We start from the raw sequence: 15896 nt of genomic DNA, 5'->3' as shown, positions 1-15896 counted from the left end.
GTCTCGCTCTATCACCTAGACGAGAGTGCAGTGGTGTGATCTTGGCTCACTGCAACCTCCACCTCTCGGGTTCAAGCGATTCTGCTCCCTCAGCCTCCCAAGTAGCTGGGACTACAGGCACCCGCCACCACCCCCAGCTAATTTTTGTATTTTTAGTAGAGACGGGGTTTCACCATGTTGACCAGGCTGGTCTTCAACTCCTGGCCTCACTCAAGTGATCCACCCACCTTGGTCTCCCAAAATGTTGGGATTACAGGCATGAGCCACCACACCCAGCAGAGTTACCTTCTGAAGGAACCCAACTAAGGCAAAACTGGTCAACAGTCAGGAATTCCTTTTGTTAATTTTAATAAAATCCTATTATAAAAAAAGGGGGAGCCCCATGGGGTTTCTTCTGAGGGGCATCTCACCAGTATCTAGATATTTTGTCTGCGTGACACCAAACAGTCAGATGGCTGGAAATAAGCCTGATAATGGAGAGAATGCTTCTCTGTTCCCGGGCTGTTTTGGGATCTGGTCAACAGAGTTGATTTTCTGGACACCCCAGTCAAGCTAGTTCAGGTCTTTTTGACCTGTACCCAGAGGGTGTATCTCTGAGTTCTGCCTCAGAAGCTTGATCACATCCCGGGGGCTCCTACAAACCACATCCTGGCTGCAGCCAACTCCCTTCCACAGGCCTCCCTCACTGAGTTTCTCTGTGGTGGGTTCTCTGCATAGCCTCTTGGGATGAGGAGTCCTTCTCAGACCTTTACAGAACAGAGCCCCTGACACTCAGTTTCAAGGGCCTACCTACATCCGTTTCCGAAGCTTTGCATCGATGGTCACTGCTCCTCTTAGCCATGTCCTCAGCTTTCTCCTCCTCCTGCCTTCTTCCCCAGACTGAAGTGGATCTGAACCTTGGCACAATCTATGCCTCTTAGTGCATTTTAGGGGATTTTAGGGCTGCCTGGGCCCCTCTATATGTTCAGACGTGTGATAGGACCCAGCCTTTTCCCCTCAAGACCTTGTATTTGAAATTCCCCATTCTATGGTTTGTCTCATCTTTGGAACCCACAGCAGGCAGAGATGTTTGGGAGGGTGGCCTCACTGGGCACACTGTCCTGGATGTCTCACAGTTTTGCATACCTCTGCCAGGCTGTGCTGCCCCCAGGCCAGACTCCTGTTTCTCTGTTTGGGCATCTTGGGGGTCCTAATTAGACACTTAGTCCTTTGGATTTGGTATTTTGAGAGTACACGTGGTATCAACAGGGCTAGCTTTAATGTTAAAACATCTATTAAAACAATAAGGGTGGATGGCTAGGTGACTGCTACTGTTACTAAAAGAGGTCCCGATCCAGACCCCAAAAGAGGGTTCTTGGACCTCATACAAGAAAGAATTAGGAGCAAGTCCATAGAGTAAAGTGAAATCAAGTTTATTAAGAAAGTAAAGGAATAAAGAATGTTTGCTCCGTAGGCAGAGCAGTGGCATGGGCTGCTCGACTGAGAATACTTAGAGTTATTTCTTGATTATATGCTAAACAAGAGGTGGATTATTCGTGAGTTTTCTGGGATGGGGCAGGGAATTCCCGGAACTGAGAGTTCCTCCCCTTTTTACACTGTAAAGGGTAACTTCCTGATGTTGCCATGGCATTTGTAAACCGTCATGGCGCTGGTGGGAGTGTTTTTAGCATGCTAATGCATTATAATTAGCGTATAATGAGCAGTGAGGACAACCAGAGGTCATTTTTGTCGTCATCTTGGTTTTTGGTGCATTTTGGCTGGCCTCTTTACCGCATCCTGTTTTATCAGCAGGGTCTTTGTGACCTGTATCTTGTGCCGACCTCCTGTCTCATCCTGTGACTAAGAATGCCTAACCTCCTGTGAATGCAGCCCAACAGGTCTCAGCCTTATTTTACCCAGTCCCTATTCAAGATGGAGTCACTCTGGCTCAAATGCCTCTGACACTACCCTGTAACTTTCTTAGTCAACTTGGGCTGCCAGAACAAAATACCATAGATTGAGTGGTCTAAACAACAGAAATTTATTTCTCTTAATTCTGGAGGCCGAGAAGTCCAAGATCAAGATGCTGGCATGGTCAGGTTCTGGTGAGTTCCCTCTTCTGGGTTTATAGACAGCTGCCTTCTCACTGTGTCCTCAGTTGGCAGAGAGAGGTGGGGGAAGCGGGGAGGGAGAGGGAGAGGGAGAGACAGGTTACCCTGGGGGTTAGGGCTTCAAAATATGAATTTGGCAGGAGGGACACACAAGTCCACAGCAATAACTGTGCATGACTCCACCCCCATCTCCCCACCCCCACCAGTATCTCATCTGTTGATCTGGCTGAAATCTGAAATTCCACAATTAGAGATTCATTTCCTTGGTTTAAAGTGTTATAATTTAAATGAGCACAGAACCTGGTCGATGGGCCTCCATGCGAGGCCTTCTCCTGAGAGCCAGTGAAAAAGTATGAGGTCACTGGGCACCTACAAGTTGGGAATGGCCCCCACCTAGAAGACACAAAGAGTACTAAAGAGGAAATTGATTTTCTTCAAGTGAGGTGGGCTTGTTAACTTTGCCAAGGCCTGTCCTAGTCCTCAGAGTTATGTTCATATCAGTTCCTGCAAAATACCCCTTAAAATAAGAGAAATGAGTCCTTCATCTTGCTTTTTTGCATCTATGAGTGATGTGAAAGACATTGCCTTTTAAAGAGGGAGTCCAGGCCGGGCGTGGTGGCTCACACCTGTAATCCCAGCACTTTGGTCTTGAACTCCTGGGCTCAAGTGATCTGCCTGCCTTGGCCTCCCAAAGTGCTGGGATTACAGGTGTGAGCCACCACACCCGGCAATATTTTCACCGCAATACTTCATCTTCCTCCCCTACTAACATCCAAATGGTACCTGAAGTAAAGCGAGCCACTTCTTATGGCTTGTTATTGCTGGGAACAGCTGCTTGTGGATAATTAGCTCAGGCAATCAGAACACTGGGTCAGGAAATCAGGCACGTGGGTCTGACTCCTGTATGGCCTTTGCTCTTGGGGACCTGTTGAGGGTGGGTCACTGCTGGTTCAGTATGTGCTGCATGTGGAATTCCATCCCCTTTGAACCTGTACCATTAATGGGGTAACAGCTGGAGGTGCTTAACTTTGGCCCTGCATCAGTTTTCAAAAGTGCATAAAGGTAAGCACTATCCTGAAACTGTTGTTTATCTTTCTCATACATTTCTTTTTTTTTTTGAGATTGCGTCTCACTCTATGGCCCAGGCTGGAGTGCAGTAGCTCCATCCCAGCTCACTGCAGCCTTGGCCTCCTAGGCTCAAATGATCCTCCCATCTCAGCCTCCCAAGTAGCTGAGACTACAGGTGCACACCACTAGGGTCGGCTAATTTTTGTATTTTTTGTAGAGAAAGAGTTTCACCATGTTGCCCAGACTGGTCTCGAACTCCTAGACTCAAGTGATTCGCCCACCTCGGCCTCCCAAAGTGCTGGGATTACAGGCGTGAGCCACCGTGCCTGGCTATCCTTCTAATACATTTCTTTATATTTTCCTACATAGGAATATGTCCTTAAGCAAGAGAGAATGCTACTCGCATGCCTTTTAAGCTTTATAAGATTGGTGTGTTTTTTACTTTCACATTTTGCAACTTTCATCTCATTTAATACTATTTTTGTGAGATTGATTCTCTTGGCTACATGTAGCTCTAGCTCATTTTTCTTCCTTTGCTTTATCCACAAACCACTCCCAGAGAACAACTGAACTCACAGTTGCCAGGGTGGGGGAAGAGCAGGAATTACACACACACACACACACACACACACACACACACACACACACAATCTCATGATTAGTTGATTTGAAACACACCTCAAGCTATTCTCATAACTAAATCTTAATCCAACCAATAATTCCTTTAGATTTTAACCACTTAACTTTGGAAATTGTTTTATAAAGCTCTAGTTCTTCCATATGTTCACAACTCACAAAATTGGTTTTGCAAATAATCCTTTTACCCTTTGCCCGCGAGGAATCGCAAAGCTGAGTTTGCTTTCATTTGCCATCGCTTTTCTTCCCGTTTTCAGATGTCGTTATCTTTCTGTTTCCTTTTTTACTTGGCATAGATTTGCCTTCCTTTCCCAATAGTATGTCCAACTCTTTCAAAACCTCTCCATTCATTCAGCCATGCATTCTTTTCACATATGTTTATAACATCCCTAGTATGTGCCAGGCACTTTTGCAGGCACTGGGGACTCAACAGTAAACCAAGCAGACAAAACTTCTGCCTTCGGCAAAGAAGCTTATCTTCCAGTGAGTGAAGCAGACGGTATTTGAGTAAAATACACGGTCAGTTAGATGGTGTTAGGTGGTGTCTGTGGAGGAAAATGAATCTTGGGAAAGAGGCACAGGAAGCCGTGAGGGGTTGCAATTTTATATAGCATTTTTCTAGGCCAGGGGTTGGCAAACCATGGCCCAAGGCCCTCCATCTGTTTCTGTAAATGAAGGTTTATTGGAACAGAGTCACGCTCATTCACTTACATGTTTTCCATGGCTGCTTTTGCATTGCAACAGCAGAGTTCAGTCATTGCAATGGAGACCATTTTGGCTGCAAAGCCTAAAATAGTTCATATTTGGCCTTTTACAGAAAATATTTACTATTTGACCCTTTGCAGAGGAAATGCAGATTTTTACCTATGATAACTTTTGAGGATTCTACCCATGTTGTGCTTTTCAGCTTCTAAAGCGTTGTCAGGAACACGATGTCATCTGAGTGTTGAAGTAGTGTTTGTTATGAGGTAGGTCTCAGTAGCTTTGTTTTACAGGTGACTCAACTGAGGCTTGAAGGGGTTATTATGGTTGTCCAGGGTTGCTGACCTTGTAAAGTGGTCGTGTTTTTTGGTGTTTTTTTGAGACAGGGTCTTGCTCTGTTGTCCAGGCTGGATGCAGTGGCATGATCATGGCTCACTGCAGCCTCAACCTCCTGGGCTCAAGTGATCCTCCCACCTCAGCCTCCCAAGTAGCTGGAACCACAGGCATACACAACCATGCCCAGCTAATTTTTGAATTTTTTGTAGAGATGGGGTTTCTCTATGTTGCCCAGGCTGGTCTCAAATCCCTGGGTTCAAGGGATCCTTTCAGCTCAGGCTCCCAAAATGTTGGGATTACAGGCATCAGCCACTGTGCCTGGCCTAATGCTGGTGTTCAACTCTAAAAGCTGGTGCGTTTTCTACTTTCCAGTGACAAATACAACCCAGGTTTTTAGCGTGACGAGCTTCTAAGCACATGAAACACAGATAGGCAATCACGTGTAGGTGTCACGAATGTGGGCTCAGAAGCTCAGCAGCCCAAGTTCAAATGCTTGTTCTGCCACTTACCTTTGTGACATCAGGCAAGTTATTTAACCTCTCTGTGCCCTGCCTCAGTTTCCTTGTCTGTAAAGCAGTCATAATTGTATGCCTTCTAGGTCAGGTGGTGCTGTATCTTGGTTTTGCCAAGGCAGCTCTGATTTATGCCTGTTTTTTCCACATTAATCAATAGTGCCCCATTTTACTCTCACATACCCCCATTTGGACATTAAATTATGTGCATGCCCTAACCAGGGTCGTTGCAGAGATTAAGTGAGTTAATACAAATAAAGCAAGTTAATACAAATAAAGCAGTTCAATCCATGCTGTAGGAAGCATTTGCTAGACTTTGGCTGTTGTTTCTTGTCAAGGCCATGCCAGCCCATCACTTAATTTTTTTTTTTTTAACTTTTTTAGATGGAGTCTCGCTCTATCGCCCAGGCTGGAGTGCAGTGGCGCGATCTCAGCTCACTGCAACCTCCACCTCCTGGGTTCAAGCAGTTCTCCTGCCTTACCCTCCAGAGAAGCTGGGATTACAGGCGCCTGCTACCACGCCTGGCTAATTTTTGTATTTTAGTAGAGATGGGGTTTCACCATGTTAGCCAGGCTGGTCTCGAACTCCTGACCTCAAGTGATCTACCTGCCTTGGCCTCCCAAAGTGCTGGGATTATAGGCATGAGCTACTGTACCTGGCCTCACTTAATTTTCTTCTGACCCATTGCTTTGTCCCATTAAGTCTGAACTGATTTCTGTCTGGAGCAATTTTGCTTATCTGGGTTAATAGGTGATTGAGGATTCATCTTCTGTGTGGCAGTGCCTTCTGGCTCACTCCCTGACCTCCCTTAGCAGCTTTGCTCAGATGTCATCTTCTCATGATGGTGTCACAGGACACCTCTCTAAAATTGCTACCTCCCCCACCTCCAACACACTTCATATCCACTTCTCTGCTTTATGTGTTTGCTTTATAGTTATTACTAACATACAGGTTTTACTGAGCTACTACTGATGTGGTTCTGTTTTGCTGTTACTTGGATAAAAAAAAAATCCTACAAAATCTGCTATGCCTGTGAGAATATTTATTTTTATGTTTTAAAAAAATGTATCTTTATCATTACATTTTCAGAAATTACAGAAAAACCCAGTAAAAAATTCAGCCCACCCATGGTCCCCCCTCCAGTTGGCATTTTGCTGTGTATCAAGAATACAGCAATTTTACCCCACCTCTAGAGGGAGTACATTTTCTAATCTAACCATATAACTTTAGCTAAACAGCTTACAAGCAAATGACAGTTTACTATGTTCTCTAAGTATTATTTTGATTCCTTTAAAAGGAGATTTTTCCTACACATTTTCATCTGAAGCTGGCCTAGGAGGAAATATAAACACACTGGTCTAGCCTAGTCCCATCTCTAGAAGTAAAGGAAAAAAAAAACATAGAAGAGAAATTGAGTGAAAAGGCATGTTCCCTCACTTGCAGTTAGCTTTCTGGCACGGTGGCAAAGCATTGGCCTGGCGCCTGCCAAAATGAGCATCTTAATAGAAATTATCATGTGTGACATTCCTTTGAATTGCTAACTTTCTTTGTAATATTGAGCAAGTTGCTTTTTGCATCATTGATATAATTCATCTTCTTATGTGTTTGCTTTATAGCTCTCTTTAAAACTGTCAGTGTTTCACAGATTGATCCATTTGCGTTTTTATTTGTTTGAATGCCGCACTGGCACGTACAACCCAAAAGGGCACAGTTGTGTGTGTCTTGTTCACCACTGCACTCCTAGCACCTCCCGTAGTGCCTAGCACATGGTATTTACTTAATAAATATTTGTTGAATGGGAAGGTGCCTGAGCACAGCAGAGTACGCTCACCCTCGATGCAGTGAGGGTGTCCTGCCACCGGGGCCGGGGTGGGGAGGAGATGACCCAGTATAAGGTCCTCAGCTGCGAGAGAATGAACCTCCAAAATGTGGTCTTGGTCCCTCAAATAGCATTCACACTTTCTCCCCCAGGCCCCGGATTCCTGTAACAAAGGATAAGTCATTAATTCAGTCCTCCGAGTTGGTTTAAAGAACAGATGCCTTTGTTTTTTTTGAGACGGAGTCTCACCCTGTTGCTCAGGCTAAAGTGCAGTGGCGCTATCTCGGTTCACTTCAACCTCCACCTCCCGGATTGAAGCGATTCTCCTGCCTCAGCCTCCCCAGTAGCTGGGATTACAGGCACCTGCTACCACGCCTGGCTAATTTTTGTATTTTAGTAGAGATGGGGTTTTGCCATGTTGGCCAGGCTGGTCTCGAACTCCTGACCTCAAGTGATCCACCCGCCTTGGCCTCCCAAAGTGCTGAGATTACAGGCGTAAGCCACAACGCCTGGCCAAAGAAGAGATACCTTTTGAGAGAGGAAGCTCAATAGGACCTTCACACGAAGAGGTCAGGTGTGATATTAGCTCCATTCCTGGGACAGCTGTGATCAAGTGGGAGCGGAAAGAAGAGCATAAGGAGGGGAGGCAGAGAGGGGCTGGGTGGAGTGGCATGGCCAAGGAGGAAAACATGCAGGAAGGGCAGCAGGCCCATGCCAGACCTCTTCTCTTCTAGAAAAGCACATGAAGTGTCAGCCACAGAGATGTATGTGGAGCAATTTGCAGAGTGCCTGGTGCCCGGAAGCAGTTAACGATGGCACTAACACTCACAGCTAATATTTTTGAGCATGTGCTCTAAGCCAAAGTCTGCTAAGCACTTTCCCTGTACTGACTGACTCATTACTCATAAGAATTTTAGGACATAAATAAGAAGTTTATCCCCATTTGATGGGTAAAGAATCCCAGGTATGGAGGCAGTAAATATCAGCAACTACTTTATCCCATGACTTGTGATAGGCTACAATTAAACACTGGCTGTTATCATCATGACTCACTGAAAATACCTCACCACCTCCCTACACCTCCCTTTTTTCTGTAATAGTGAAAAGGCTTTGACAATGTTGTCAATAATGTGGCATTAGTACTATAGGATAACCAAAAGCAGCTTGTAATATTTATGGCAAGGGAGTTTTAAAAGATCTTTTGAGATATTGTACACTTGTTCTTACTTGCATGAGCACATTACATTTTTATCCAGGCAGAATCATTTTTCTATCAAATGGTAGTTTTCAACCTATTGCTAACTGCAATACTGATTTTTTTTTTTTTTTTTTTTAGATAGAGTCTCGCTCTGTCACCCAGGCTGGAGTACAGTGGCGCAATCTTGGCTCACTGCAGCCTCCACCTCCTGGGTTCAAGCAATTCTCCCTGCCTCAGCCTCTCAAGTACCTGGGATTACAGGCACATGCTACCATGCCTGGCTAATTTTTTTATTTTTGGTAGAGACAGGGTTTCACCATGTTGGCCAGGCTGGTCTCAAACTCCTGACCTCAGGTGATCCGCCTGACTCAGCCTCCCAAAGTGTTGGGATTACAGGCGTGAGCCACCGCACCTGGCCTGGTCCATTTCCTTTTAACCCTGCCTTTCCAATGAGAACCTGGGAGATGATTAAAATATTCCATTTTATATGTACACTGCACTTTAAAAATTTTTTTAATTTAATTTTTTGAGACAAGGGCTCCCTCTGTTGCCCAGGCTGGAGTGCAGTGGCACAGTCTTTGTTCACTGCAGCCTCAACCTCCTGGACTCAAGCAATCCTCCCATCTCAGCCTCCCAAGTAGCTGGGGCTACTGGCACATGCCCCCACACCCAGCTAATTTCTGTATTTTTTATTGAGATGGGGGAGGGTCTCACTATGTTGCCCAGGCTGGACTCCAACTCCTGGACTCGAGTGATCCTCCCACCTTGGCCTCCCAAAGTGCTGGGATAACAGGTGTGAGCCATTGCGCCTGGCTCCCCGGCACTGTTTTTACTATAAAATTTTTCAGCTGTCCCCGAGACTAGATTATGTGATTACTTTATTTTGGATGAGAGAATTGATGTTTACTTTTTCCTCAGCATTCTATTTATCATTCTAATTAACAAGTTACCAGTTTCACTAATAAAATGCTTTTGGCATTTGATATGCTGATTAGCGAAGTGTGGATTGTAGGTCAAGGTCACAATGGCAGAAGGACGTGTAGGAGCTGCCTTGAGAGAGTGGCCTTTGTGCTATAAAGTTTGCAGAGCACTCATCGAGTTCAAGCTTAAACTCACCGGCACACACAAACATCACACTGCCTTCCCTGCGGTATATTAAAGTGAGTTCCAGACCTCATAACAGGCAGGCCCGGGGCACCTCATGGTTCATGGAGGCTTTGGGGTACAGTGGCAAGTGATTAGCTTTGGGAGTAACATGACTCATGTAGTCTCCCGTTTTCTCAAATTATCTGGTGAGTTAGTCTCTTACTGCAAGGGAAAAAATAATACTCCCACACCACTTGGAACACCCCAGTTTTGGGAAAATCACTCAAAAAATGCTGCTTAGCCACCCATGCAGCATCCGTGCTGCTGGAGGGTCATTTGGGAAAAGGCAGCGTCCAGACGCCTGCGGGAGGCAGGATTTTTATGGGCTGTTTTTGTGTCCAGTTTCGTAGTTTTCAGAGGAGTCCATTCAGGCTGTCAATGGGAACCGTTGAACCTGTCAAGTTGCTGTTTGCCGGGTCTCTTGGAAAAACACACTGCAACATCCCAGCCCTGGGCGGGTCAGAGAGGATAGTACTAAAAAAAGAAGGAGAAAGTGGACGGCCCCGCTCTGGTGGGAGGCCAGGGCTTGGGGCTGCAGCCAAGTTCCCTGGTGATAGAGGAGTTTCCACCATCCAAGGCTTCCCGTTCTGGCTCCCTCCACCCTACCGTACACCATCCAGCCTTCCAAAATAACTCCGCTTCCGGTGGAACCGGGCAGAGTCACTGGAATGCGTGGTAAGCAGAAGGAGCAGGTAGAGTTGATGCTGGGAGAGAAAGTGTTTTGATGAGCAAGGAAAGAAAGTCGAACAGGAAGGCCAGCCAGCCACTGCAAGACTTTCCTGGCAGTAGGAACACTGATGGGAATGGCACTGACTTCCAGTTTCTGAGGCGCAGCCCAGCAAACCCATCAAGGTAGGCAAAGCCCTTCCTTGGGAGTCATCCCCATACCTCCTCCTCCTCTCTCTCCCAGTTAACAGCAGGCCTTCCCATCCCAATGTGCGTGCGTTGTCCATGCCTGACCTCACTGGGCTCTGCCTGGTCACTGAGGCCTGCTGTATCCCTGTTCACCACCCAAACTGACCTGATCATTAAAAAAAAAATAGATTTAGGAGGTACAATTGCAGCTTTGTTACATGAAGGTATTGTGTATTGGTGAAGTCTGGGCTTTGAGTGTAACCATCACCAGGATAGTGTACATTATAGCCGTTAGGTAATTTCTCACCCCTCACCTACCTCTCACCCTCCCTGCTTTCTATCCATACTGTATGTCCATCTATCCATACTCTGTGTCCATCTATCCATACTCTATGTCTATCCATACTCTATATCCATCTATCCACACTCTATGTTGATCTATCCATACTCTATGTCCATGTCACATTATTTACCTCCCAATTATAAGTAAGAACATGCAGTATTTGGCTTTCTGTTTCTGAGTTAAGATAATGGCCTCCAGTTTCATCCATGTTGCTGCAAAGGACATGATTTCATTCTTTTTCATGGCTGGGTAGTATTCCATGGGGTGTGTGTGTGTGTGTGTGTGTGTGTGTGTGTGTGTATACCTACATACCACATTTATGTCCACCATTGATAGACACTTAGGTTGATTCCATATCTTTGCTATTGTGAATAGTCTGACTTGATAAATTAAGTCACACGTGCCCATTAGTGACCACAGTCATTGAAATTTGCATGTTTTATTGGGTGCAAGCCCTTACCAAAAAAACAACCAAACAAAAACAGAAACAAGCCTTGAGAGGTGGTCTCTTAGATACTAGTCAAAAATTAAAAACAACTTTTGGGGTGGAGGAGGAGTCCTACTCTAGTGAAGTCTTAATAGACTCTAGGTCACCGTCATCTTCAGATTCTCTGGTATAGAACATGTTTACATGCTCCCTGCCCGCCATCTCCCCAAACACACAAAAGATAGAATCAGTCACTCCCATCTTTGTGTCCTCAAAGCAGTGTTCTTATGACCATGAGCACGTTTTCTCCCACTGTTCATCCACGCATAGGAGTGAACATGTGAGTTTCTTGCCTTCTCAGAACGTTCCCCTTTATCCTCTCCTTGTGCACACAGACTGGCCTCCATTTAGAAGAGGGGCTCAGTCAAGGGCCACAACTTCCTGCAGACTGTGGGATCTACCATTCAAGACTGCTGAGAGGAGGAGTAACCTGAGATCTGAGAATTGTGCCAAGGTGGAAGTTATGACCTTGATAAGAATAACACAAAAGCCCGATTGAAATCAGTTCAGGAGACGCTGGGAAGAGGAAGTGGAGGTGCTGAGTGTGGCCAAACCCTGAGCAGGTTAGTTGAGGACTAGCTAAGAGGAAAAGCTTGGCCTTCTCTAAGGATTGTCATGTTTTCTCTTGTTCATGGATGAGATTTCAGAATAAAACACGATCCCCTTTTCTATTTGGGCACCAAAGAGCCATGTTTGTAGTTTGTTAATATAAAGGTGAAGGCCTTGTGACCTACTTACCTACTTCCTAACTTCCCAGTTTCCCTCCTTGGTCCTGATCTCCTTCTGTAATTTATATTCTCCTTGATCCTGCCTTTCTTTGCAGGGAGTGAGGAGGGGAATACAAAGTGCCGTTTTGTCATCTGTGGTCTTGGTTGTTAATTGCCTGTTAGCCTTCACAGAACAAGTGCAACTGAAGGCTCTAAGACACAAGTCAACGTGAAGGTCCTCCTCCATCTCGCCAGACAACTCCTGGACTAGGTCCTGGTTCAGGATGGGTTTGTGCAGTTGCTGCAGACAGAGGCAAGGACTGAATTTTAAGATGCTGGGTGAGGAGGGTGAGGCTGGAGGGTAAGAGCAGGTAAAAAGGGACTGTGCATACCCCACTTGGAGCTGCAGGACTGCTTTCCCTCTCTTGCTGGGCCAGGCTATGGCCTTCCCCTGCAGCTTGGGAAGTTACTGTCCTCGCACCTGCCCGTTTGGGTTTCCTCTCCCCCTCCTGCCTTTGACCCTGCTCCTCATCCTCTCCAGACACCTGACTCCAAGCTCATCTTTCTAAAGCTGCTCTGTCTGGTTAATTTCACCCCCTCCCCCAATTTTATTCTCGCCCCCATCAAGTTAGGCATTGACTGTCTACTCTGCTAATTTGTTGTCATTGATACCTGACTTATTTTCAAGTTGTTGCAGGGGAACTGATGTGAGGGAAAAAGCTGGAAGGTGTTGTTAACTCTGTAGAAATTGTATGTGACTATGAAGGCCAAAAGCATTTCGAGAAAGCATCCCATACACTTGTAACCTAGCAGCAGTGGGATGCTGGGATGCTGCAAGGGCTGGGATCAAAGGCTGTGGATTGGGCTGGCAGAGGGCCGGTGGCTGTGGTGGGAAGGCACACCAGACCCAAGGGGTGGACAAGTTGTCAGATGACCTGGATTCTAGTTCACATGCAGCTGCTTCACTGCGTTTGATCCTCACTTGCCTTAGCTGAACTCTAGGCAGTGCCTGCCACTCTTTCACTCTTTATATCCAACCCAGACCCAAGTCGCGTCAATTCTTCCTCCCAAATACTGCTCAGTATGTCCATCATTCATCACCACCACCACCATCTTCATCCAGCCTTGTTTCTCACCTCGAATACCGTAATTACTTCCTCGTTGGTAGAGAGCAGGGCAAACTAGCGCCCACAGGCCAAATCCCACAAGCTGCCTGTGTTTATAAATAAAGCTTTATTAGCACACAGCCACACTCATTCATTTACAGATTGCCTGTGGCTGTTTTTGTGCTGTAATGGCAGAGTTGAGTAATTGCAACAGAAATCCTGCAGCCTGCAAAGCTGGAAATATTTACTATCTTACCCTTGCAGAAAAGATCTGCAGGCCCCTGGTGTAGAGGAAAATCATTTGTATAATTATTCTGACTCTTCTTTTCTGAACTCTAATACCCATTACATTTTAATAGATTTTCGTGTGTGTGTGTGTGTGTGTGTGTGTGTGTGTGTGTGTGTGTGTGACATAAAATCTGTAGTCTCCATTTCTTGATTCTAACTCTTACTTTGTATTTTTGTTTTACTGAATTGCTCAGACCTTCAGAACAATGTTTGAGAATGGAGAGCTAAAATTCCAAACTGGACCCCCACTTCCACTAAGACCCCCTCCTATTCATTTTCCATGCAAAAATTGCTAGAACAATCTTGTCAAAATGTGAATCTGAACACGCTGCCCACTGTTTAAAATCCTTCAGTGACTTTCCATGGCTCTCAAAGCAAGGGTGCAAATCCTTACCTTGGCCACCAAGCCCCCTTGGGAGCTGAGCCTTTTCTGTCTCTCCAGCCTCATCTTTCACTGTCCTCTCCTTGCCACGGCATGTCCTGTCCACTCCTACCTTTCTTCAGTTCCTTACATGAGTGACATTCCCTCTTGCCACAGTGCCTTTGCACATATTACTTCCTCTACTTGATACGGTCTTTCCTTGCCTCTTTGGTGGGCAAGTTCCTCTCACCCTTCCAGTTTCAGCATCACTTCCACAGGGAAGCCTTCCCCAGTCCCTTAGGTCAGATCCCCCTGTCTTCACCCAGAGCTCCTGTTGCATTGCTTTGTGGCACTTGCTGTAATCGCAATATCGCACTTCTTGGTGTGAATTTTTGTATCATATCTCTGTTTCCCCATTAGAATATGAACACTTACCCAACCTCAACATCTAATTTGACCTTTCTAAACATTAACATCATAACCACAAACAAATAGGTTCTGGGACACTAAGGAAAAATCAACTTTTAAAAAGTGCAAAAAAAAAATACATCATTCAGGAGAAAAAAATAAGTTAGAGTGAGAATAAAGAATAAATTAGAAATGTGGAAGAGGAAAGACAAGCATTTTAAGAAATGACCTTCTGGCTTCTGAGTTGTACTGAGTGGCTTGATGTCATTAGCAAGATGAACGTATTGATTTTCTCTTATTTGTATAGTAAACAAATGGAAATTTAAGCATTTTACCACTCACAGTACATTGTTTCCTGTAGTTATAAATATATTTTCTTCTTTCTTAGCCTGCGCAGCCACGTGAGGGAGGGGGTCTTAAACCATGCCTCTTAACCCTTGGGCATCTGGCTCGAAGGCCCATTTTCTTCTCCTCTCTGCTGGCTAGGAGCAATGGGTAGAAGGGAGGGCTAGAACACACTTAACAGGTCACAGTGACAAATATTTCTTTCAGGGAGATTATCATGAGCAAATGCCCAGAAACGGGCTGCAAACTCTGCCCAGTGTCCCCAGAAACATCTTGGTTCATCTCTTTATGAGTAGGGCCCATGGACCATGCAAGGTCTGCAGAATCTGCTTATGTGGGTTCCAGAGGGAGTGTATAGAGGGAGTGTATAAAAGAAAATGAGGCAGGCTTTGAATTAGAATCAGCCCAGGCCAGCATTTTATACATAATGGGCCCTTCCCTTAAATTGGTACTTGTAGTACTTACAGAAGGAAAAGAAGAAAGGAAGATGAGTGGAGAGAAATAATGAAAGGAAGAAAGGGTAAAGAGGAAGGGAAGAAAGAAGGTGTATAAGTTAGTTTTTTCCACATAACAAAACAGCCCAAAATTTAGCAGCTTAAAGCAACAACCATTTAATTAGTTCACATTTTTTGAGTCCACAGTCTTGGCAGGGCTCAGCAAGATGGTTCTTCTGCTGGTCTCGGTTGGGCTCACTCATGCATCTGTTGTCACCTGCCAGTCTACCAGATGACCCTTTGCCTGGGGGTTGGCCAGCTCTTGGTTGGAGCAATGCCTGACCAGGCGTGGGTCTTTCATCATCTGGCCAACTAGCTCAGGCTGGTTTCCACTCTTACATGGTGGCTTGAGCCTTAAAGAGCAGCAAGAGAGAGCAAATTCCATGCTCAAGCACTTTTCACACTTTTGGTTGTATCACATTTGCTGCATTCAAGGGGTGGAGCATTCAAGGGGTAGAGCAACAAAATCACATTGCATGGATTTTGCAATGTAATTTTGGATAGGCAAAATAGATAGGCAAACTAGAATAGGAAAAGTTTGGTTTTTATTTTATTTTTATTTAACTTTTATTTTAAGTTCAAGTATACATGTGCAGGTTTGTTATATGGGTAAACTTGTGTCATGGGGGTTTGTTGTGCATATTATTTCATCACCCAGGTATTAAGCCTAGAACCCACTAGTTATTTTTCCTGATCCTCTCCCTCCTCCCACCCTCCACCCTAGGAAGAGTTTATGAGTAGCTTTGCAATCAGCCACAAAAGGGAGGGGCTAGAAACTTCTCTTGCTGGCAAAGTTGGCAGAGATACAGCAATTTTGAGGTGGAGTTTGAGGTCTTCATATTGAATTTTTAAAATGTTATTAATAAATCACTAAATTCCTATCTTCCACAGTTTTTCTGTCAAATAGGGCTAGATAATAATGTAACTTCTTAATCATTTCCAGTGAGAATAATAACAACTTTATGGGCAAGGGTTTCCTCATCTTTTATTTCCT

At 45.1% G+C, this 15896-nt stretch overlaps 1 protein-coding gene across 15 annotated transcripts in view; it reads left to right on the top strand.

Annotated features, from left to right (window-relative positions):
- The window catches only part of ADGRG2 (adhesion G protein-coupled receptor G2), a 133650-nt gene that overhangs the window by 18048 nt on the left and 99706 nt on the right, over positions 1–15896 (top strand). The window contains exon 1 of one of the 15 annotated variants that reach the window (XM_011545435.3): positions 11739–11756. The exons of the other annotated variants lie outside the window; for them this stretch is intronic. The gene's annotated coding sequence lies outside the window, so the exon portion shown is untranslated. Of the gene's footprint in view, positions 1–11738; positions 11757–15896 lie in introns of those variants that run through there. 15 annotated transcript variants of the gene reach the window in all.

Source organism: Homo sapiens, chromosome X (assembly GCF_000001405.40).
Source record: "Homo sapiens chromosome X, GRCh38.p14 Primary Assembly".
Taxonomy (NCBI): domain Eukaryota; kingdom Metazoa; phylum Chordata; class Mammalia; order Primates; family Hominidae; genus Homo; species Homo sapiens.
This window is presented reverse-complemented; position numbering and strand designations above follow the sequence as displayed.